General features: G+C 41.4%; 1 protein-coding gene and 1 long non-coding RNA gene across 5 annotated transcripts, besides 4 other annotated features; one reads left to right on the top strand and one right to left on the bottom strand.

The window, feature by feature from the left end:
• Positions 1-30: 30 nt before the first annotated feature.
• Positions 31-12,299, bottom strand: TCEANC (transcription elongation factor A N-terminal and central domain containing). Of its 4 annotated transcripts, NM_001297563.2 has the most exons (5): positions 12,252-12,299; positions 10,067-10,151; positions 5,672-5,788; positions 4,318-4,409; positions 31-2,939 (listed from the first exon to the last, which is right to left on the bottom strand). In NM_001297563.2, the coding sequence occupies exon 5, from the start codon at positions 2,929-2,931 to the stop codon at positions 1,876-1,878; it is 1,056 nt and encodes a 351-aa protein (NP_001284492.1). In that variant the 5' UTR covers positions 2,932-2,939; positions 4,318-4,409; positions 5,672-5,788; positions 10,067-10,151; positions 12,252-12,299; the 3' UTR covers positions 31-1,875. The 4 variants fall into 4 exon arrangements, with proteins under 4 accessions (NP_001284492.1, NP_689847.2, XP_016884805.1 ...); NM_152634.4 differs by lacking the exon at positions 4,318-4,409 and having other exon boundaries at positions 12,128-12,299; XM_017029316.2 differs by lacking the exon at positions 4,318-4,409.
• LOC107985657 (uncharacterized) lies at positions 12,001-12,943 on the top strand. Its single transcript, NR_171573.1, has one exon. It is a non-coding gene; the product is annotated as an uncharacterized LOC107985657 (long non-coding RNA).
• Positions 12,077-12,166: an enhancer, noted in NCBI's record as "active region_29442". NCBI's record gives its function as "activates an Ori minimal core promoter by ATAC-STARR-seq in GM12878 lymphoblastoid cells {active_cell/tissue: GM12878}" and the evidence as "EXISTENCE:reporter gene assay evidence [ECO:0000049][PMID:35858748]".
• Positions 12,187-12,498: a silencer, noted in NCBI's record as "fragment chrX:13671061-13671372 (GRCh37/hg19 assembly coordinates)". NCBI's record gives its function as "represses an EF-1alpha promoter that drives an FKBP-Casp9 reporter gene in an ReSE screen in HepG2 liver carcinoma cells {active_cell/tissue: HepG2}" and the evidence as "EXISTENCE:reporter gene assay evidence [ECO:0000049][PMID:32094911]".
• Positions 12,187-12,616: a biological region, named in NCBI's record as "ReSE screen-validated silencer GRCh37_chrX:13671061-13671372".
• Positions 12,427-12,616: an enhancer, noted in NCBI's record as "active region_29441". NCBI's record gives its function as "activates an Ori minimal core promoter by ATAC-STARR-seq in GM12878 lymphoblastoid cells {active_cell/tissue: GM12878}" and the evidence as "EXISTENCE:reporter gene assay evidence [ECO:0000049][PMID:35858748]".
• Positions 12,944-23,174: the final 10,231 nt, after the last annotated feature.

The raw sequence follows: 23,174 nt of genomic DNA, 5'->3' as shown, positions 1-23,174 counted from the left end.
AAGGTTTTTATATTTTGGAGAGTAAGGAAATTTCCATTTTAATTACTTTTATTTGTCTGAACATTTAGTTTGCCAAATTCCAATATAAATAAAAACTACACACATACACACAAACCCCCAAAGCAAAACATAAACACCGACTTGAACTAATCAAATTTGGTTTTTATGTGCTGTGCTCTTTCGTAACCACTGAATAGTTTTTCAGATTATTCCAAGTCATATGAAACCACACTTTGTGAAACTTCAAGTTTTAGATGACCTTGCAAGTTAAGGACTAAACATGTTGCATCACAAAAAGCAGCCCTGGGAAGACACGGAGAGCAAGTATATCAAAATAGATTTTACACTTGATGGCATTGAGCCGACTCTTCCAAATTATTTGAAAATACGAACATATTTTACTTTTATGCATGTTTTGGAGAATTCTGTCAGGCAGGTAAAGTGTACACACAGTTAGGCCTTCAGAGCTCCAACAAAGGAAGAGAGTTAGGAGAAAAGAACTGGTGAGAAAGTGAAATGGTAGGTTTGTAGAGACCGCCAAAGTAAACTTTTTAAAACTATAAAACGGTGAACATTCCATGAGTTTTTTAAGGAAAAAAAATCAGCCATAATCACATAGAAGGCGTGTTGTAGTCAAACAATTATATAAACTGGTTAAACACTGTTTGCAAAGGCCTCAAAGAGGTAATTTTATCTTCAATTCATTTATTAGATAAACGTCTGTTACTACATTCAAAGGCTAAAGTGATGGGCTTCCTCTGACAGACTAATGACCATTAATGTCCATCTCAAGGACACTTGTCCTTGAGAACATGAAGACTCCTGACATCAGAAACTAAACATCCTAGAGTTTACATACCCCCGAAAAACCTGTTCACAGGGGGAAAAAACAAAAACAAAAACAAAAACAAAAAACAACTACGAAACTCCTTCAACTAAGCAAGAGGGCTCCAAACAAAATTCTAACTGCGGGATGAGTTCCAGGGTGACTTTTGTGGTTGAAGGGAGACCTATAAATGAGAAAAGAGAGGGGAAAAGAATGAAGATCTAGTCACCCAATGTTGGAGTTTAAACACATTCTTCATTTTGTCCCCGACCTCCAGGAATACATTTCTCAGAAGTCGATATTGAGCCAGTCTCAGTGAGTCAGGAGGGAGAAAATCTGGGATCTGTCAGAATTGGTACTATTTATGGTTGTGTCACTTGGACATGTCACCACACCTCTGTGGACCTGTTTCCTCATTCGTGAAGTGCCTGGAATAACATTCTTGTCTTAGAGCTGTAAAAAGGATCAAATGAGAGCCTATTTCTGAGTAGTTCTCAACTCTGACTGCATCTTAAAATAACTTGAGGAATGAAAAAAGAAATGTTGATGCCTGGGTCCCATCTCATAGGTTCCAACTGAATTGTTCTAGGGTGGGGTCTCAGCACCAGTGGGTTTTCAAAGCTTCCCAGATGATTTTAATATGCAGCCACTGCTGAGAGCCACAGGCCTATTGCTAAAGTAGCACTTCTCAAACTATCCTATCCTGGAAGATTACCTGGGGATCCTGTCAAAATGCAGATTCGGATTCAATGGTGTGAGGCCTGGGAATGCATTTCCCACAGTCTCCCAGTTTATGCTGGGCTGTTCTCACCCACACTCTGTCTACAGTAAGGTACTAAATGGCCACAAGGCACAATATAAATAGTCATCCACTCCCTCTCCCCAAACTGTAACTTTTAGGGATGGTGGTGGCAGCTTCAGCTAACGACTTTCTTTCCTCCTTTTTCTGTTTTAGAGAGTAGTGTGTATAAGATTTTTAAAAGCACAAAAGGGTTGTACAAATAAAAGGTATCACTCCGGTTATCTGTTAAGAGAACACTGATTTACAGTTACCAGCACACCCACTTGCTATGGTACCACTGCTCCCCACATTCGTTACAAATTACGTAAGTCATCATTTGTTCATCTGGGTTTGAATTCCGCACCCAGCTGGGAAGGAAAAGTGTTCCTCTGTCAATTACAGTGACTTTGCAATTGTATTTCTCACAGCGTCTGCATTTTATTTTATTTGTCTGTGTGCCATCAATTACTTGGGGAAGGTAATGTTCCTGGATACAAGATTCCGTGTAGGAGGCTCTCAACTGCTTCAGTTCCTTATTTGCCATCTCCATGACAGTCATTTCAGCAAATTCTCGTGGAGACGTGGTCCCAGAGAGCAAGTTTTGTTGTAAATGAGAATTTCTGGGGTTCTTCAAATTGGCAACTTTGCTTCTGATGCAAGTTTTATATTTTTTGATGTTCTTTGAATAAAGGGTAAAAACATGCTCTTCAATTTCTCTTGCAAAGTTTTGCCACAAATCAGCTTTGGGTTGATCTGTGGAAGAACTAGTTAAAGCTGCGTAAAGAAGCTCTATGCATTTAGTTCTCATGGGTGTTGTGGGATCCAGCAACTCACTCGATCTCTTGCCAGTGGATTCAGGGTCACCATCCCCAAAATGCTCTTCCTTAGGTTTCAATTGAATGGCTCTATTTTCAGGCACAATCATTTCACTGAGTTTTGCAACGTCTTGGGAAGACAGAGAATTCGAGCTGCAGATGCCCAGTGTCTCATTCTGACTTGGGTCATGAGAAGGTCCTGAATTTTCTTCTTTATTACCCCTCACAGGAAATAATTTAGGGCTGTTCCTCGCTTTGGAGTGAGTCTGCTTATAAACAGCTTTCCACTTTGATAGCAAACACTTGGCTTTCTTTTTCAAAGCCACAGAGGGGCAGTTTTTGAGGACTCTGTACACAGCTCTGACCACATCTGTCTCCTGGAGATGCTCCTTAGTCACATAAATTGTTTCTAGCTCAGTAAGGTGGTTGCCAAGATCCTCAAAATTCCTTTTGGACATCAGTTGCTCAATAAGAGAAGCTCTGGCAGCTATCTGGTTCTTGTCAGACATCTTTACAGCTGCAAAGAAAAAAGAGGTTTCAGTTTTCTTAAGTTTGCCGTTGCTAGTCGCAGCTTCTGGATACTAAAATAGCACTTTCTGTCAGTTACCTAGGCAATGTTTTCCGAAAGAGTCATGTAATACAAATGTATGCGACACGCTAGAAAATGGAATCTTTAAGGTGACGGTATGGTTTACTCTCAAGAGTTTAATTCCTACGAGTGAAAAACAAACAAACAGCATTGCAGAGCCTCTACATAACATCTGCTTAAGAGGCTTGCCGGAGGATCTGCTATAGCTTTTCCACCTCCAATTTTACAAATCAATGATCTTTCTAGATTAGTCAATCCATTTGGGCGGAATCCGGTGGTCATGTTGGAGGTGAAATCATGCCGGTGTCAGCATCAATATGGCAATGCTGAACAGTGCTAGACAATTTTTCCCCAGAGTCAGCTATATAACTGAACTACTTGCTCATTTCATAATCTTTAAAGTGGTACTCTTCTGAAAATAAAAGAGAAACAAGACAGAAAGGGTTTGCTAATGTCTCAAGCAATCTAAGGAAAATGTGAGACAGCACAGGTTGAAAAGCAGCTAGAGATACGTCTGCGGGTCCCAAAAGCCAACAGGCTACACTGTGCTGCCTTAGGAGTCTTCTGAACAAGGGAAAGGTTCAGACTCAATGATCCAGATGATTTATGACTTTAGACTAACTGGTTCTTACATTTTGGTTTTGTTAATTTTTAAAAAATTTTTAAGTGTAAAGAGTTGCTCAATGATTATGTCTGTGTGAATTTCATCCTAGGCAGGCAAATGTTTACTTTTATCTATGCAGTCTATTTTTTCCCTCCACATAATGTACATAATCTTGTCTATATAATACCCTTGGATCTATATTTATCTGTCTGGTCTAAATGTGAACATAAGCATCTTGATGGCAGGGACTGTGTCTTTTCAAAAATCCATGGGCTCTGTTTTATAGCACTTGATATTAAATAATCACCACCGAACATACACAGGCTAAGAACACTGAAGTGTTTAGAGAGAGAATTCACGCAGTCTTCCCAGACACCATATGACAAGTGACATAAAACATAATGACCTTTTAGTAATTCTACTTCCATAAATTTACTTTAAGGAAATGAGAGATGTGGAGACTGCATATGTAAGAATTTTCTTCTAAGGAGAAATTAGAAGGCCCTCAAATGGTTAAATGGAGAATGGTTAAAAATATGGCACACTCCTAGGATACAGTAATATAACCATTTAAAAATCATGTATTTAGATAATATTTAACGACATGGAAAAATGGTCATAAAGTTAGGTGAAAAACAATCAAGATGTAAAACTATATAAAAGACTAAACAGTTAACATATGGGCCGGGCATGGTGACTCACCCTGTAATCCCAGCACTTTGGGAGGCCGAGGCAGGCAGATCACGAGGTCAGGAGATCGAGACCATCCTGGCTAACATGGTGAAACCCCATCTCTACTAAAAATACAAAAAATTAGCCGGGTGTGGTGGCGGGCACCTGTAGTCCTAGCTACTTGGGAGGCTGAAGCAGGAGAATGGCATGAACCTGGAAGGCGGAGTTTGCAGTGAGCCAAGATCGTGCCACTGCACTCCAGCCTGGGCAACACAGCAAGACTCTGTCTAAAAAAAAATAATAATAAATAAATGAATAAACCAGTTATCATATGACCCAGCAGATCCAAGAGAAATGAAAACATATGTCCACACAAAAACTTGTATACAAATGTTCATAGCAGTATTATTCACAATAGCCAAAAATGGGAAATAATCGAAATGTCCATCAACTGATGAATGGATAAATAAAATGTGATTTATCCACACAACAGAATATTATTCTGCCATGAAAAGGAATGAAGTATTGATACAGTTACAACATGGATGAACCTTGAAAACATTATGCTGAGCAGAAGCAGCCAGACAGAAAAGTCCACATATTGTATGATTTTATTTACATGAAATGTCCAAAACAGGCAAATCTATAGAGACAGAAAATAGATCAGTTGTTGACTAGGTAGGGTAGGGCAGAAGGGCAGTGGGGTGAAGGAGGAGGAGCAGCTGATAAAGTTCAGGGATTTTCTTGGGAGGTGGTGGCACACATAAATCTTCTCAAGATTTATTTGTGGTGATGGGTTATACAACTGAGTATACTAAAAAACACTGAATTGTACACTTTAGGTGAACTGTATGGTGCGTGAATTACATCTGAATAAAGGTGTTATTTAAAAATAGAATTTGATCCAAATTTTATTTAAGAATTACATGTGAAAAGACTGAAAAGAGATACACAAAATTTTAAAGAGGGGCATTTTCTGAATGGTAAGATTTTAGGTAATTTTCATTTGTTATTTTCCTCTTCTGTATTTTCTGTGATGAGCATGTATTGCTTTCATAATCAGAAAAGTTATTGGTCTAACGCAATTTCATGATAAACTATATGCACTTAAGATATACCTACTGAAAAATGGTATGAGCAATGAATCAATCACCTTCTACCCACCTCCCCTCTGGAACGAGAATGTACATAACACTACTGAACTGTATACTTAAAAAGGCTTAAGACAGGCTGGGCGTGGTGGCTCACACCTGCAATCCCAGCACTTTGGGAGGCCAAGGTGGGTGGATCATGAGGTCAAGAGATCGAGTCTATCCTGGCCAACATGGTGAAACCTTGTCTCCACCAAAAATACAAAAAGTTAGCTGGATGTAGTGGCGCATACCTGTAGTCCCAGCTACTCGGAAGGCCGAGGCAGGAGAATTGCTTGAACCCGGGAGGCAGAGTTTGCGGTGAGCCGAGATCATGCCACTGCACTCCAACCTGGCGACAGAGCGAGACTCTGTCAAAAAAAAAAAAAAAAAAGGGCTTAACACAGTAAATTTTATGTTTTGTATATTTTATCACAATTAAAATTTTTTAAAGAAATATGAAGAAAAGGTCAATAAAAGAACATATAAAATGAAGAGCAAAGTGCTTTTTGGTTGTTTATACATAAATACATTAACTTCTATAGATTTACTCATTTTGCTGGTAAGACAAATTGCTGCTTTCACCCCACTGAAACCCCGAAGCTATAATTACAATTCCCTTTAAGAATTACCTTGAAACTCAGACCTTCAGTTGAGAAATTCTGACCTGAGTCAAATATTGCTTAACTTCCTTTTGGGCGCTGTAGGCCCATCTCTTATTCACCATCTTTCTCAATGCCTAGCAAACCTCCATCCTGATTTCAATAGTAATGCATATAGAATGCAGGCACATTGAATGTTTCTTCTTTGTTAGGAAACTTTTCAACGAGTCGGGGAGGGCTCAAGTATATTGAATAACTTGAAACTTTATCACTGTGACACAACTGCGTGACTTCAAGATCTGAAGCAGACAATTCTGAGAGAAATGTTCGCTAATAGAGGGTGTGAATATTTTTTATTTTTCTGTGCTGTCTTGCCTGTTGTTTATTAAGAGTTTGATTCTTAGGAAGACCTCTTTTACTGTATGCAGTCTTTAAAAGTGGAATTTTAAAAAGGCAAAAAAGAATTATCTTTTAAGTGCTGGTTCACAATAATTAGGAAAATTACATAAGATCCTGAATTGATGGCCCTTTGTGAAACTAACTTTAAAACAAAACAAAACTGACTGCCCCAGGTTTTCTACATTCCAGCTCCCTCTGGTGGTTAAAAATGTAGGACTCAGACTCTTGGTTATGTAAGGGTACTTAACTCTTCATATTTGGGGATAAAGTTTGAGGGGAGATGCACCTGTTTGAGATGCAGTAATCGATTTCTGAGGCAATTATGAATACTTATCTGAATGCAAAGCCACAGGTGATATAGCCACTCTTAAGAGACGATATTCACATTTCAGAGGGAAGGTGGGTAGAAGGTGATTGATTCATTTCTCACCATACCATTTTTCAGTATCTTAAATGTATACAGTTTATCATGAAATTATATTAGACCAATAACTTTTCTGATTATGAAAACAATGCATGCTCATCACAGAAAATACAGAAAAGAGTAAAAGAACAAATGAAAATTACCTAAAATCTCACCATTCAGAAAATGCCCCTCTTTAAAATTTTGCGTATCTCTTCAGTCTTTCCATATGTAATTCTTAAGTAAAATTTGGACCAGATTCTATTTTTAAATAACACCTTTATTCAGATGTAATTCACATACCATACAATTCCCCTAAAGTGTATAATTCAGTGGCTTTTAGTATATTCACAGTTGTGTAACCCATCACCACAAATAAATCAACTTTAGAAGATTTATCTGTGCCACCACCCCCCAAGAAAATCCCTGCACTTTAGCAGCCACTCCTCTTTCTTCACTCCACTGCCCTTCTGTCCCACCCCACCAAGTCAACAACTAATCTTTTTTCTGTCTGTATAGATTTGCTGTCTGGACATTTCATGTGAATAAAATCATACAGTATGTGGTCTTTTGTATCTGGCTTCTTCTATTCAGCATAACGTTTTCAAGGTTCATCCATGTTGTAGCATTTTCAGTACTTCATTCCTTTTCATGGCAGAATAATATTATGTTGTGTGGATAAACCACATTTTATTTATCCATTCATCAGTTGATGGACATTTTGATTATTTCCCATTTTTGGCTATTATGAATAATACTGCTATGAACATTTGTGTACAAGTGTGTGTGTGTTTTTTTTTTTTTTTTTTTTGAGATGGAGTCTCGCTCTGTCACCCATGCTGGAGTGCAGTGGTGCAATCTTGGCTCACTGCAATCTACACCTCCTGGGTTCAAGTGATTCTCGTGCCTCAGACTCCTGAGTAGCTAGGATTACAGGCATGTGCCACCACGCCCGGCTACTTTTTGTATTTTTAGTAGAGACAGGGTTTCATCATGTTGGCCAGCCTGGTCTCGAACTCCTGACCTCAGGTGATCCACCTGCCTTGGCCTCCCAAAGTGCTGGGATTACAGGCATGTGCCACCACACCCGGCCTGTGTACAAGTTTTTGCATGGACATATGTTTTCATTTATCTTGAATCTGCTGGATTATATAACTGTTTAATCTTTCATATAGTTTTGCATCTTGATTTTTTTTCACTTAGCTTTAGGACTATTTTTCCACATCATTAAATATTCTCTAAAAACACGATTTTTAAATGGTTATGTTATTGGATCATCCTAGGAGTTTGCGATAGTTTTTAATCATTCTCCTATTTGGGGCCTTCCAGTTTCTCCTAAGTTTGAAGAAAATGCGTACATATGCGGTCTCCACATCTCTCGTTTCCTTAAAGTGAATTCACAGAAGTAGAATTACTAAAAGGTAAATATGTTTTATGTCACTTGTCATATGGTGTCTGGGAAGATTGTGTGAATTCTCTCTCTAAACACTTCAGTGTTCTTAGCCTGTGTATGTTCGGTGGTGATTATTTAATATCAAGTGCTATAAAACAGAGCCCATGGATTTTTGAAAAGACACAGTCCCTGCCATCAAGATGCTTATGTCCAGCACTCTTTTCATCCTCCCAAACTGAAAACTCTGCACCCATTAAACAACTCCTCATTCTTCCCTCCCTCCAGCCCCTGGCAATCACCACTCGACTTTCTGTCTCTATGGATGAGACTACTCTAGGTACTTCATGTGAGTGGAATCATACAGTATTTCTCTTTTTGTGACTGGCTTATTTCACTTAGCATAATGTCCTCAAGGTTCATCCATGTTGTAGCATGTGTCAGAACTTTCTTCCTTTTTAAGAATGAATAATATTCCATTGTCTATACATAACACATTTTGTTTATCCATTCAAATGTCAACGGATACTTGAGTTGCTTCTGGCTTTTGGCCATTGTGAATAACACTGCTGTGAGCACTGGTATACCAATCTCTCTTTGAGACCCTGCTTTCAATTCTTCAGAGTATATACTCAAAAATGGAATTGCTGGATCATATGGTAATTCTATTTTTAATTTTTTGAGGACCCACTGTATTGTTTTCCATTCCCTTCCACATTTTTAACAGGATTTAAATCCAGTCAAACTTTCTAGTCCTCTGTGGGACCATCATGTGGATATAAAGGATTTATTGCCCTAGGAGGGTATAATGTGGAAGCCATTGAAATACAAAATTCTGACAATTGCCATAAAAAGACAAGGTAAGGCATATGTCCAGCTTAGTTCTACATAGTTCATTCAATAAATATATATTAGGGATTGAGTATGTGCTAGATGCTGAGCCTAAAGAGACAGTCTCTGCCTTGAAGGAGCTGATAGCCTAGTGGGAGTAATACTGACAAGAAACTGGCCAGTTACAACACATGTGGAATTTCAACATGGACAGACACTGGCTGCTAGGGGAAACACACGCAGGATGGCACCAAACCCTATCTGGGCTCGCCATCATCTGGACAGCTACAATTTGCTTCTTTACTGCCTTCACTGTACTTCTGGCACTCACAAGGCCCAACTGTGAGTCTGGCACTTTGTTAGAGGGATCATCCTCTAGTACAGATCTCAGAAAGATACTCCCTCATTTTCCTGCTGAAAGCCCTTGAGAGGTTTCCCCTTGCTTTCATGATGGAGCCAAAGCTCCTTGGCCAGTGGCAAAAAGAGCCCTAGCAGGCCTCCCTCTTGACTACTCGCAACCACTGATGGGCACGGCTCTGTGCCTTTGCTCAAGCAGCATCCCGAGCCTGGCTGATCTCTCACCATTAGTGGTTCTCAAGCCTGGCTGCACATTAGAATCCTCTGGGGAAATTAAACAACAAAAAACAAAAACAAACAATGGCAGGGCCTCACTCCAGATAGGATGAATTAGGATCTCTGAGGGTAGGGCCTGCATATTGGCTCAGCTCTCCAGGGTGACTCTGATTTAAACCACACACAGGCATACAACCCTCTTCCACACCCCAGCAGGACCTGCCAGTTAGGCTGCCATCAGCCCCAAAGACAGCTCTGGTTCTGCTCCTGGACCGAATGCAGACAACTCTATGACTGGCTTTTCTAGATGAGTCCCATTCAGTCAGAAAAGATTTAAAACACCTACTGTGTACAATGCAGCTGACAACCTTCTCTACAAATTACAAATGACAACTGTAATATTTTAAGTGTCATAATGTACACAATTCCTGATATTCACCCTCTCACTTACCTCTTCACAGTGGAAGGCAACATATATTTATTGAGCAACTCTCCAGGCCACACACACTCCAGTCATCTCAATCCTCACAATACTCCTGCAATACAGATAATGGCTTATTTTCATCTTACAGGTGAGGAAACCTGCTAAAAACAGTAAATAATTTGCAAGTTTTTTTCATGGTGTTAATCACATTTAAAAAACGTTTTTACTGCCTTCCCCACAAGACCATAAGAGAAGATCCACATGTTTTATTCACCTATACACACCTAGCAAACACCCAGTCAGTGCTTACTATTACTTAACACATTTTTGTTGTTGTTAAATGAGTAATGAGCATCCAGGATGCTCTCTCTCTTCTCTGCTTGGGAGCTTCATTTCTTTTCACTACACACCAGCTTGCTTGTACTCATTGCACCTAAGCCCAGTGCCCCTTGGCTTCTTTCGTAGGAGACCAAGCCCATCTCGATTCTAGTTCAAAAAAATCATTCAAAAATTCTAGTTCAAATAAATCTTGTTAAAAAAAACAAAACAAACAAACAAACAAACAAAAAAACCATGGTGCCCACTGTGGGCTAATGAAGTGGGTTTGAGGGGTCAAAACATTTGCATAAGGAAGGTCAAGCAGGTCCAGTTCCCAGAAGTGAGGGGTGCTGAGCAAGTTGGATAAGTTTCTTGACCATTCTGTGCCTCAATTTCCTCATCTACAAAATGGGAGAAATCCAACATCCTAGGATTAATGAGAATTAAATGAAAGTCTTGATAAAGTGCTTTGAACTATGGCTGTCACACAGTAAGTGTGAATAATAGGATGTGAATCTACAATTAAAAGGCTTAAAAATATCTACCAAACCAGGCATTGTTCTACAGCAGGGGGTCAGCACACTTTTTCTGTTAAAGATCAGAAGGTATATATTCTAGGCTTTGTAGGCCATACAATCTCTATGGACTACTCAACTCTGCTGCTATTGTAGCAGCAACAGCAGATACAGAAAATAACATAAATGGATAGGCATGATCTTGCTCTGGTAACACTTGTTTACAAAAACAGGCAGGCTGGATTTGGCTGCAGGCCATAGTTTGTTGACCCTTTTCTAGAGCAGGGCTGTGCAACATATATATAACATGTAAACCACAAATATGATTTAAAATTTTCCAGTAGTCATGTTAAAAAATAAAAATTGGTGAAATTAATTATACATTTTATTTAACCCAGTGTATCCAGAATAGTCATTTCAACATGTGATTAATATAAACAAATTGAGATATTTTACATTCTTTTTCATGCTAATTCTCGAAAATTCACTGTGTCTTACACTTACAGCACATCTCAATTCGGACTAGCCACATTTCAAGTGATCAAGCCTTATGTAACTAATGGCTATCATTATTGGGACGCCACGGTTCTAGAACTGATGCTAATATGGATAATGCTTGCTTAGGTGCATACCTATACCAAAAAGTGTATACAGTGCCAGGAAAAGTAGGCACGAAATATGGTATTGGATCCATATAAAAACTTATAAAGATTAGCTAATATTATAGTAAGCAAGGTGCACACATCTGCACAAAAATGGCCTAAACCCTGAGAAGAACGAGAGGAAAGGTCTGGAAACAATGTTTCCAGAAGTTTGTAACAAGTCAAAAATAACCTAGATCTGTTCAGATCTTTAGATCTCTTTAAAGCCTAAAGAGAAACTGTAACTTTCTAGCCCTAACCCACTTAACAGCTCCCCAGCTTCACAGGGAGCCCCGCCCTCTATGGAGAGAAACGATGCCAAATGTTGGCAGCGGTGTAGCGGTTACTGAACAGCCACTCAGCACTGCACTAGGACCATTTCCCTTAATGGTGACCCCTAGTAAAGGTGCAGCGAGAGGAAGGGACCAGCCCAACTGCCCGGTCTAGCCCGGGTTCGAGTTCCGGTGGGTGGGGTCGAGCAACATGCAAAGCCTGCCGCTAATCATCTTGGGATGACGGCCCGGCACCCAGCACACAAACAGCGACAGTCCCGAGGGTTCAGCCCACTCTGGCGACCTCGACAGTCGGAGAGGAAGGGGCGGGGGTGCGAGCACCTTCGGATCTACGCCGCCCAGGGCGCACCGGAAAGCTGCCGCGAGCCGGGGTGGGCTTCCGCTGGGAATAAGGGCTCGCCTTTTTGCGGGACACAGGCCCTGGCAAACCTGAAGCATGACTCACCGAAAAGCGCAGGCGCAGTTCCGGAGCCTTCAGCCGCCCAGTGCCCACGGAGAACTTCCGATCACCGGGACTGGGACAACGTCAAGGCTCAGCCAATCCAAGCCCACAGGCCGGCGCACGTGGTCCTGGGACCCAGTGCATGCGCGCTAGGGAAATGGCTGCCGTGGGACTGCGCTCGCGCGGCTTCCTAGAGGAGGAGCCATGGCCCCGCCCCGGGCCCGAGAGAAAGAAACTGCACTTTCGTTTTTTAGCAGCAAAGTTTGTTGATGTACTTTACAACTTATCTTTTCTGCTTCTACTCAGGACAGTCAAGACAGTGCTCAGCTAGATGTTCACATAACTGTAGACATAAATGTGAATCTATTTAACGCAGTAATTAATTCAAAAAGTGTTTTTAGCATCCTAGCATGCATCAGTTGATATGAAAGTAGTAAATGTTAATTGAGTGGTCTTGTGCATCCTGGACTTCTCATCTGTGCATATTCTCATTCTTTGCCTGCAAAGGGCCAGTAAAAGCACAGTGATGGTTGAACGAATGTGACAGCCTCCTTTGCTGATGCCTTACCCCAAGGTAATTTGGGGAAAGGTTCAGGGAAACAGAGTATCCAATCCAATACTCTGGACTGGGTGCTGGCAGGAAGGAGGGCGATTGTATGATTAAGTATCATAATAAATCTTACCTAAAAGGAGGGGAGACAAGACCAGTGACTCATTAACTGGGATAGGGGATGTTTGGTCATTTTTGTGGTTTGGACAATGTTTACGTTTTTTCAGCATTCCCACGTGATTACGAAGGAGTCTTGTTTTTGTCTTGATCCATCTGGTCAAAGAGTGGCCACGTCTGATGGTGTTCTGTGAAGTATTTATGTTCCACGCAGCACCAAGGCCCAGCTGTGACTGCCGGGGCAGCTCAGAGCTGTCAGGGGTTACTTTTTTCTTGCTGTCTATTATAGGGCTAAAATGTTTAAGGATTATATAATACCTTTTTAAAGAAAAAATTATTTGGCTGGGCGTGGTGGCTCATGCCTGTAATCCCAGCACTTTGGGAGGTCGAGGCAGGCGGATCATGAGGTCAGGAGATCGAGACCATCCTGGCTAACACGGTGAAACCCCGTCTCTACTAAAAATACAAAAAATTAGCCAGGCGTGGTGGCACGTGCTTGTAATCCCAGCTACTTGGGAGGCTGAGGCAGGAGAATCGCTTGAACCCGGGAGGCGGAGGTTGCAGTGAGCTGAGATCGAGCCATTGCACTCCAGCCTAGCGACAGAGCAAGACTTGGTCTCAAAAAAAAAAAATTATTTAATGACACTTGTCACTTGTTAAAGCATGGTAAGGAAGACTTTATTCAGGACCATTGAGATAGACATAGGTACCACTGCAACAGGGTCTTGCAGTGGGGAAGAGAGATTGGGCTCAACTTCAATTGTAGCATGGAAAAGTGAGAATTTATAGCCAAGGAGCAAGGTAGGGGGGTCAGTGGATGGAAAATTATTAAGAGGAAACATCAGGGGTAAGGGGGATTCTGTCTAAACCAACCTGACAAGATTCTTGCTGAAGACGGGCCAGGGTGATCAGATGTCACCTGGAGGTTGGTGGAGGATGAGGAACCAAATCAGATATTAAGGGTGATCAGATATTGAGGGTGGTTGCTTTTGGCTAAACTGATTTATCAAGGCTTTTTGCTAAAACTGGATTTTACAAGGAAGTGCACAGATAGGCCTAGTCAGGAGACTGACTAAAGTTTGGTTGGAAAAGAATGCTTGATAATCTTTACTTTTGCCTGTTAAAATAAAAAAAAATTGACGTAATTTAAATTTGGCAGAGTTTATGTGAGCAAAGAATGATTCATGAATCGGACAGCACTCAGAATCAGAATAGGTTCAGAGAGCTTTGTGGGCCGTGAGTATTTATAGACAGAGAATGGAAGTAAAATACAGAAATAGGCTGATTGGTTGCAATCAATGATCAGATCATTTGGATATGATCTGAGAAGTTGGCAGCTTGTGATTGGCTGAAGCTTGTCTGCTTGTGTTTGGCTGAGACTTGGCTGTTTATTATACTCTTCCTTAGGTTAAGCTTTCAGTGTATTTATGTACTAAGTTAAATTGCAATTCATTGTGTAGAAAATCAAAGTACAGAGACAGCCTTGAGCCAATAGCCTCCTGCTTATTTAATTTAACATGCTTTAATGGTATTTCTCTTCTCATTGTTACTTTTTTGGTTCATTTTATGAGTACTCTTGCCCCACTTTGTAAACACTGATTTAAAAATCCGAAGGACTATTGGCTCCTAGACCAACCATCTCTAGTTTTAGACAGTTACCTAGGAAAAATACTTTCTTTGTGATCAGATTTGTAACATGCAATTCTTAAAATATCTGATATTTGTCAAAACAATGGCACTCAAACTATGAAAGGCTCAATCTGAAGGAGTCAGTTTGGAAACTAGAAGTTACTACAGAAGTGGTCATTAGAGCTTTGAGGCATATTATAATCAATTTCTCATGAACTCTATGCTGAAGAAAAAAACAGAAATTACTCAAAAGTCTAAAATCAAAAACAACCTAGTGTTTTCTCTGGTGTGAAGGATAAGACCATTATTTCAACTAAGAGGCAAGCTATAATTACTGCGTAGTCCTGCCTTGTCTACTACAGTAGCCACATGTGGCTATTCAGATAAAATTTAAACTTCAGTTCCTCAGTTGCACTAGCTAAATGTCAAGTTCTCAATAGCCACCTGTGGCTAGTGGGTACCATATTGGATAGCACAGATATAGAACATGCTCATTGCTGTAGAAATTTCTGGCTGAGTTCATCTGGAATGAATCTAGGGCTGCCAGTGGATTCTAAAGAGGTTGCTGAAAAGTTTGTTCTTTTGGGCAATTTAAAAATGGAATACCTATAAAAGTACTCACATCTATGATAATTTATCATGCATAGTTTTCAGGCCTTTGTTTTAAAATCATCTTTCAGCTGCTTCAATACTCTGGAATTCTCTTTGATAAATTTCCCTTAGTGCAGCGGAAACCTCTTTTCAATCCTTATTAAGTCTCTGAGTGGCAATATATTAATAGATATTCTGAGCTCATGCAGACAGCCCTTTCCTGCAAATTCCCACGGAAGAGAGACAAAATCTTATGGGCCTTCTCCAGAGGCTAATGTTACACATTGCTGAGGGAACAGTTACAGATGTTTTCCATGGAATGAGGTCATAGAAACTGCCTCTTTCTGGGTTCTGAGGTGCCGGCCGGTGTTCATTTCCTGATAAAACACCAGGACCAGACACTGGGCTTAACTGGGGATGTTCTTATAAGTCACAGTACATAAGGCATGGGATTAAAACGATGAAGAGTTCCCTTGAAATCTCAGGAGTTACAGAATATTAGGAAATAGAACAAAAAGTCATACATTATAGAAACAGAAACTTTATGTTTAAGTTCTGCAACATATTTCTCAGACTTATGCAGGTGAAATGACAGAGAAGCAGCGAACATGGTATCTCCAGTGAACATCCCCAGAGGCTTCCAGAAGAGCTAGTTCAACGGGTCAGGCAGTCCCTGGCTGGTGGGCCACAGATTGCTTAAACCAACCTAATACCTCTTTTGTTCTTTGGAGGGGCCCACTTTGGAGATTTTTTGGAGGACCCTCCCTTTGCTGGTAGCCCCTTATTACCCATTCCATGGTTCAGATGCTGCACCCTCTGGTTAACCGCTGGCTCCTGCTTTTGGTAGCACATCCCACACAAACTTTTTCTGTCGGGTTACCTCACCTGCAGGCCTGTTGGTCAGGGTCCTTCCAAGACAGCCTAGGCCCAGCTGCTTGCTTGATGTGCACTTAGCCCATGGGAACAACCCAGCGGCCCTGCTCCCCGCCCAGCCCTGGAAGCAGGGCTGTTCCCTCTGCAGCCCTTCTCGTCATCTTCACAGTTGGTCTTAGGTAGCTCTAGCTGGCTTCTCGCCTATTTATTGTTTTTTTTTTTTTTTTTTTTTTTTTTTTGGAGAGTCAGACACCATTCTACAACAGGGGCACCTGTCAATCTCTCTGAGTGGTTCTCTCAAAGTCACCCTCACTTGCCTTGGAGTGGGGGTGGGAAGGAAGCTTCCAGAACTGTAACAACCCTCTTTCACTGTTGCCTTCTCCTGTACATAAGCTGAAGAGTGGCAAACGGGCATGGGTGACAGGAGTTTTTGGCTCATCATTTAGTAAGCCCTGGGTAAATGGTCTAACATCTCTCATTAGAACCAGCAGACACTTAACATTGTGCTCTCACCTTTGGGGCCTTGGACAAAACTCTGAGTCAGGAAATATCCCATTTAACACCTTCTTGTACCTGTAGTAATCTCCAGATCAGTTCCATACCTCTTATTCTCCTTTTCTATACCATTTGTCCATTTTGCTAATTTCTCTAGAAGGTATGTTATTCTACCATAGATTTATGGCAACATTTAGTGGAGGAATGATGAAGGACCAGAAAGTCTGGCTTCAGTCACCTCTTGGTTGATATGGTTTGGCTGTGTCCCCACCCAAATCTCATCTTGAATTGTAGTTCCTATAATGCCTATGTGTTGTGGGAGGGACCTGGTGGGAGGTAATTGATTCATGGGAGCAGTTACCACCATGCCGTTCTTGTAATAGTGAGTTCTCATGAGATCTGATGGCTTTATAAGGGGTGTTTCCCCTTTTGCTCTGTACTTCTCCTTGCTTTCACCATGTGAAGAAGGATATGTTTGCTTCCCCTTCCGCCATGATTGTAAGTTTCCTGAGGCCTCCCCAGCCCTGCAGAACTGTGAGTCAATTAAACCTATTTGCTTATTAAATTACCCAGTCTCAGGTATTTCTTCACAGTGGTGTGAGAATGTACTAATACATTGGTGCATATCATAAGAGGAAAATTCAGAGGCAGTGCAACATCTTTACTATTTTGTTACTAGGGATTCTTCAAAATTCTCTTTAATCAGAAAAATATAGAACACTTACAAAATGAAATGGAACAAGGGGACACCAACTCTACTCAAAGACCTCTGCCTGCCTGCGCAGTTGCTGTTTCCATTGCTATGAAGAAATCCAAACTGAGGCCTGTCATCTGGGGTTTTGTTCTGCCAGAGTGGCTTGTAACCAGGAGTAGTACAGTCTGGAGGTGATCCTGACATGTGGACTGCCCCATGAAATGCCTCACTTCATTTTGGTTTTTGAGTCTTTGTTTTAAAGGGAAGTCGTTTTGTAACAGCAGTTCATCGGCATAGTGAGACATAAGCATTAAACATTGAAGCGTTGGTCGGTGCTGCTTCCTTTATCTTTCGTTCTTGCACCGCGTGGCCTCATGACTCATTCTCATGGACTGACACTATACACACCACCCACAGCTGTCCTTTCATGATATGACCTGGCATGCTGCCAGGAGGGCCTATTTATCAACAGTGACAATATAAAGGACAGCCATGTTCTCTTCTTAGTCTTCAGTGGGAGACACATTTGGCCAGAAGTATACCGTTCTGATTTACAGTGCCCAAGAGAAGCGCTTTGCCATTTCAGCCTCATTTTCTCACAAAAACCTAGTACATGGAGTTGCTGCACTATTTGGCTCATATAATAATGTTTTTTTTAAAAAAAATTTTAGTCATTTATTTTTGAGACAGAGTCTCACTCTGTCACCCAGGCTGGAGTGCAGTGGCGTGATCTTGGCTCACCGCAACCTCTGCCTCCTGGGTTCAAGCAATTCTCCTGCCTCAGCCTCTCGAGTAGCTGGGATTACAGGCAGGTGCCACCACACCAGGCTGATTTTTTTGGTATTTTTAGTAGAGATAGGGTTTCACCATGTTGGCCAGGCTGGTCTGGAACTCCTGATCTCAAGTGATCCACCTGCCTCGGCCTCCCAAAGTGCTGGGATTACAGGCGTGAGCCACTGTGCCTGGCAATAATGTTTATATTAGTTGTTCTTCATTTCAAACCTTGACTCAGACCCCACCTAGGTTTCTGGTTGCTGAAGAGAATGAAGTTGTCAACTCTTTTGTCGTTATGAGAGTAGATCTATTACACTGGTATGTGGCCTGGGATAATTACATGTACTCGATCTCAGATTTGCATGATGGGGTTCATTCACATGGTGGGCTTTGGTGAGTTTGGACCACCCAGCTTCAGCACACCTTCCAAACAGCCAATCAGGTGCCTATTCTGCCCTAGCCAGGTGGCAGCCAGATGACCCCAGCTGGCCCGATTGCACATCCTCCCTGGAATGTGAATTTTAAGCAGAATGATGTGGAGTCTAAACATGGTGAAAGATCATTAAGATGAGGGTGGTGTCCTTATGAGACCATTCCTCCAATGGCTCCTTTCCCACAGTTCTGCTTCTAGCCCAGCGGCCCATTTCCAAAGCTGGCTGGCTGGTCTCTCCCTCCACCTGTACATTCCTGCTATCCTTACTATAACTTCCCTCTGCTGGGTCTGTTTTGGTGGCTTGCTAACAGTAAACACTAACTGACACAGCCTGTCTTAATATGGCTGTGTGATTTGAGGGACATCAGAAGAGAACCCCTGACCTTACCATGGTGCTAGAATTCCTTTCTTACTCATTCCTTTGGATGAAGACATTGAAAGCTGCTATTATAAAACAGCAACTATTACTTAGGAAAGGTTACACTTGAAGCTGTTTATTTGCTATGCCTGAGTTATATTGTAAGGATCGTCTCCCTTGTCAGAGACCAATGGAATGGGACATAGGATAAGTAAATGTTGATGGGGAGAATTGGGAGGGAATGAAAGGTCTGCAAGATTGGATTCTTCGAGATCTTAAGGGTGACTGAATTGGAAGGTTCTGGGTACCCAGAAAGAAGCATGAGTTCATAAAACACCAGGGAGGAGAAGAAATGGAGCAAAGAGGGAGTAGGAGGAGATCCTGGAAACAGCTCTGCTGTTTGCCTGGTGGCAGCCACACACATGCAGTCACAAGGGGGCACTGCTGGAACTCTGAGAGAAGACTCCAAAAAACTGATGCAAGTGGAAAGCCGTTCACATTCATCAGGAGAGCTGGGTGAGGATAGCCTGGACTAATCCTAGGAGGAAAAAGACTTTTAAAAGAAGTAACAGGGATAGAAAAGGGAGACGTAGAAACTTCCATCATTGTCCAGAAAGACTAATAGATGTGGGGCAGGTGAGAGTTCCAGGCTCTTGAGCAGCAGGAATATTTCCTCAAACTTCAGCCCCTGGGCCCGTTGAACTTCCTCTCCAGATTCCCATGCCATTCACCTCCAGCAGCCTGGATGGCAGGCCAGTGAACACCCACAACAAAAGTCATCCGTGGCTGGATTATACCTGAGTCTGTGTAGCTTCAGCCACAACCTACCTGGCGCTGAGAGCTGAATTCACTCTAGGTGTCCCGAGTCATTCAGCACAATGTCAGACAGAAGAGGTTCATCTTAAGGGGTAGGGGGAGTAATACTTTTATTTTTGAAAGAAGTTCTTACTGAAGTATGACACATATATAGAAAAGTCAGTGTACAAATCGTAAGTGTACTGCTTGTTAATTTTCACAGTGAACATGTCCATTCAAAAGGCACCATGAAGCAGAATTACCAGCCCCCCAGAAATTCTCCCCTTGTGTTCCCTTCCAGCATCCCGCCCCCACCACGGGTAAAAGCATAAACAGAATCCCAACTTTACCGCTATAGATTAATTTTGCCTGATTTTGAAACTTAAGTAAATGGAAGTGTACAGTATGTACTTTCTGGCTTCTTTTGATCAATTACATATTTTTGAAATTTGTCTGTGTTGCTGTGGGCAGCGTTAAGCTATTCATTCTCATGTCTTCATAGTCCTTTATTGAATGAATACACTACAGTGCATCCATTCTAACAATGGACATTATGGATATTTGGGTTGTTCCACTGGGACTAATACAAATAGTGCTACTATTCATTTCTATTAGGTATATACCTAGCAGTGGAATTCTGGGTTGGTAATGCTATTTTTGGTCATAAATGATGACCAAAAATTTTAACCATAAATTGACAATGCCAAGTCTCTTGTATGATTTGTGTACCTGAAAAAGGCAATTTCAAATGTGTTTTGAGCAACATTGTCATTAAAATAAATATATAGGCCGTCAAAGAAATTATTGAGAAAGAAAGGGTAATTAGCTCTTACCTAATGACATTCAGCACTCTTAGTGGCCACAGAGTGGAGGAAACCAAACCAAACAAACAAATAAGACAACATAGAAATGTAAAACAATTTATATGACACTACCAAATTGATTAAAGATATACACAAGATAATTATTTTGGTCAAAAATATGCATATGTAACCCCTCTATCTTATGCATATGTAACCTTTCTGTCTTAAGCCCACTTAGGGGCAGCTCTTTCTGGCCCCAGGCAGACTCACCACCACACCATACTACTGCCTCCCAAGATGTAAGTCTATACTACTGCCTCCCAAGATGTAAGTCTATACTACTGCCTCCCAAGATGTAAGTCTATTTTACATCTATAAATCATTTTACAGATTTTTTTCATGTGCATATTAATACTAGAATTTTTTATGAAGCATAGATATGACATTTAAAAATGCCAGATTTCTAAAAAGGTCAACCTAGAACCCCATTCTCCACACACAAAAAGGACCCTTGCTTGTATGTACAAAAATCCCAAAGTTCATATTACCTTACCATTCCTTGACCAGACAGAATGATGAAGCTGCATCTACACAACTCCAGGACAACACTTTGAATAGAGACAGAACACAGCTATTTAGTATCTGTAGTCATGGTCTGATGGAATTAAAGAGAAAAAAGGTTGAGTTCATTTACGTTGGTTTTTTAGATGTTGACCCAGTCTAAGCCTTTTTGACATTTTTAGAGGGCCTCAGACTTGTCAAAGGAGTTTTTTTTGTATCCCAATTAAAATCAATGTACTGAGATAAATTCACCAACATTCAATAAAAGCCAGTTTTAAAAATAGAAATGTGTCTAGCCACTACCTCTACCCCCTATTCCTTCTTGGGGAGAAACTATCGGTGCTTTAGATTGTCAGGCTGATAGCTTTCCACCTTCCATGAGAACTGCCTTTACCCGAAATTATGCTAAATAGTCATTATCCAATTCATCCTGTCAGGTTTCCAAAACACGTTAATTGTTCCAAGAGACAAGCCCATTCGACTCAAAAAAAAAATAACCACTTTTAGAGGAGATTATCAAATTATAACATGTTCCAAAACTGTGATACTTCTCCCTCAAAATTTGGAATGATTTCACTCTATGTTTGTTTCTTTTGCAGAAATTAAATCACCTAACTGATATCTTATGGTCTGATTGGAACAGGATTTCAATAGCAGCCCTGGGAAAGTAAGTTCCAGAAAGTATACTTCTCTTCACTCAAGGAAAGGTAGCTGGGCCCATATAAGGGGAGAGTGTTATTTGCAATGTTACGGATTTGTGAGAGATCACCATTCCTATCAAATCTTTCTGTTGTCCCCTCATCTAATGAATTCTAGAAAGTGAAGAGTCTATGTTAGGAAGTGATTCGCCATAGGTCTGCCCATCTTATACACATAAGCCCTGGCAGCCTTTGTTCTGAACTATCTTTTCTTTTCTTTCTTTTTTTTTTTTTTTTTTTTTTTTTTTTGTGAGACGGAGTCTCACTCTGTTGCCCAGGCTGGAGGGCAGTGGCAAGATCTCGGCTCACTGCAACCTCTGCCTCCGGGGTTCAAGCAATTCTCTGCCTCAGCCTCCCGAGTAGCTGGGATTACAGGTGCCCACCACCACGCCCGGCTAATTTTTTTTGTATTTTTAATAGAGATGGGGGTTTCACCATCTTGGCCAGGCTGGTCTTGAACTCCTGACCTTGTGATCCATCCAGCTCGGCCTCCCAAAGTGCTGGGATTACAGGCGTGAGCCACTGTGCCCGGCCTCTTTTCAAGGATGTTTGTATAATGAACAGCCTCAGGGAACAGGGATAGCATCTTCCTTTTGGGGGGCAGACTTGGTTCTCCACTAAGATGATAAAGGTATTGTCTCCTTCCAGGACAAAGTTTGGGAAGCTTTGCTCTCAGCCCTCTTATTAGACTGGGGCTTTCCCAGACTCAGGGCTCAGCTGTGGCACAAGCCCACTGTGAATGCTGCACTCTGTGGCCCAGGCTGGAGTGCAGTGGCGCGATCTTGGCTCACTGCAACCTCCACCTCCTGGGTTCAAGTGATTCTCCTGCCTAACCCTCCTGAGTAGCTGAGATTACAGGTGTGCACCATTACGCCAGGCTAATTTTAGTATTTTTAGTAGAGATGGGGTTTGGCCATGTTGGCCAGCCTGGTCTCAAACTCCTGACCTCAAGTTACCTGCCTGCCTCGGCCTCCCAAAGTGCTGGGATTACAGGCATGAGCCACCATGCCCAGCCAAGCTGTGTTTTTTTACCAATATCTATGAAACCAGGACAGGACAACCTGCTAGCTTGTAATTCAGGTAAAACATCAGCCTTTTCACGGTTCTTTTTTTTTTTTTTTTTGATGTTAAAGCCCATGGGCTAGTTCATATACGTCTTTATTTCTTTTTTTTTCTTTTTTTTAAATTATACTTTAAGTTTTAGGGTACATGTGCACAACGTGCAGGTTTGTTACATATGTATACATGTGCCATGTTGGTGTGCTACACCCATTAACTCATCATTTAACATTAGGTATATCTCCTAATGCTATCCCTCCCCCCTGCCCCCGCCCCACGACAGGCCCCTGTGTGTGATGTTCCCCTTCCTGTGTCCAAGTGTTCTCTTTGTTCAATTCCCACCTATGAGTGAGAACATGCGGTGTTTGGTTTTTTGACCTTACAATAGTTTGCTGAGATTGATGGTTTCCAGCTTCATCCATGTCCCTACAAAGGACATGAACTCATCATTTTTTATGGCTGCATAGTATTCCATGGTGTATATGTGCCACATTTC

The sequence above is a fragment of the Homo sapiens genome, chromosome X (genome assembly GCF_000001405.40).
Source record: "Homo sapiens chromosome X, GRCh38.p14 Primary Assembly".
Classification (NCBI taxonomy): domain Eukaryota; kingdom Metazoa; phylum Chordata; class Mammalia; order Primates; family Hominidae; genus Homo; species Homo sapiens.
Note: the sequence above shows the minus strand (reverse complement) of the source record. Positions and strands in the feature narration are given on the sequence as shown.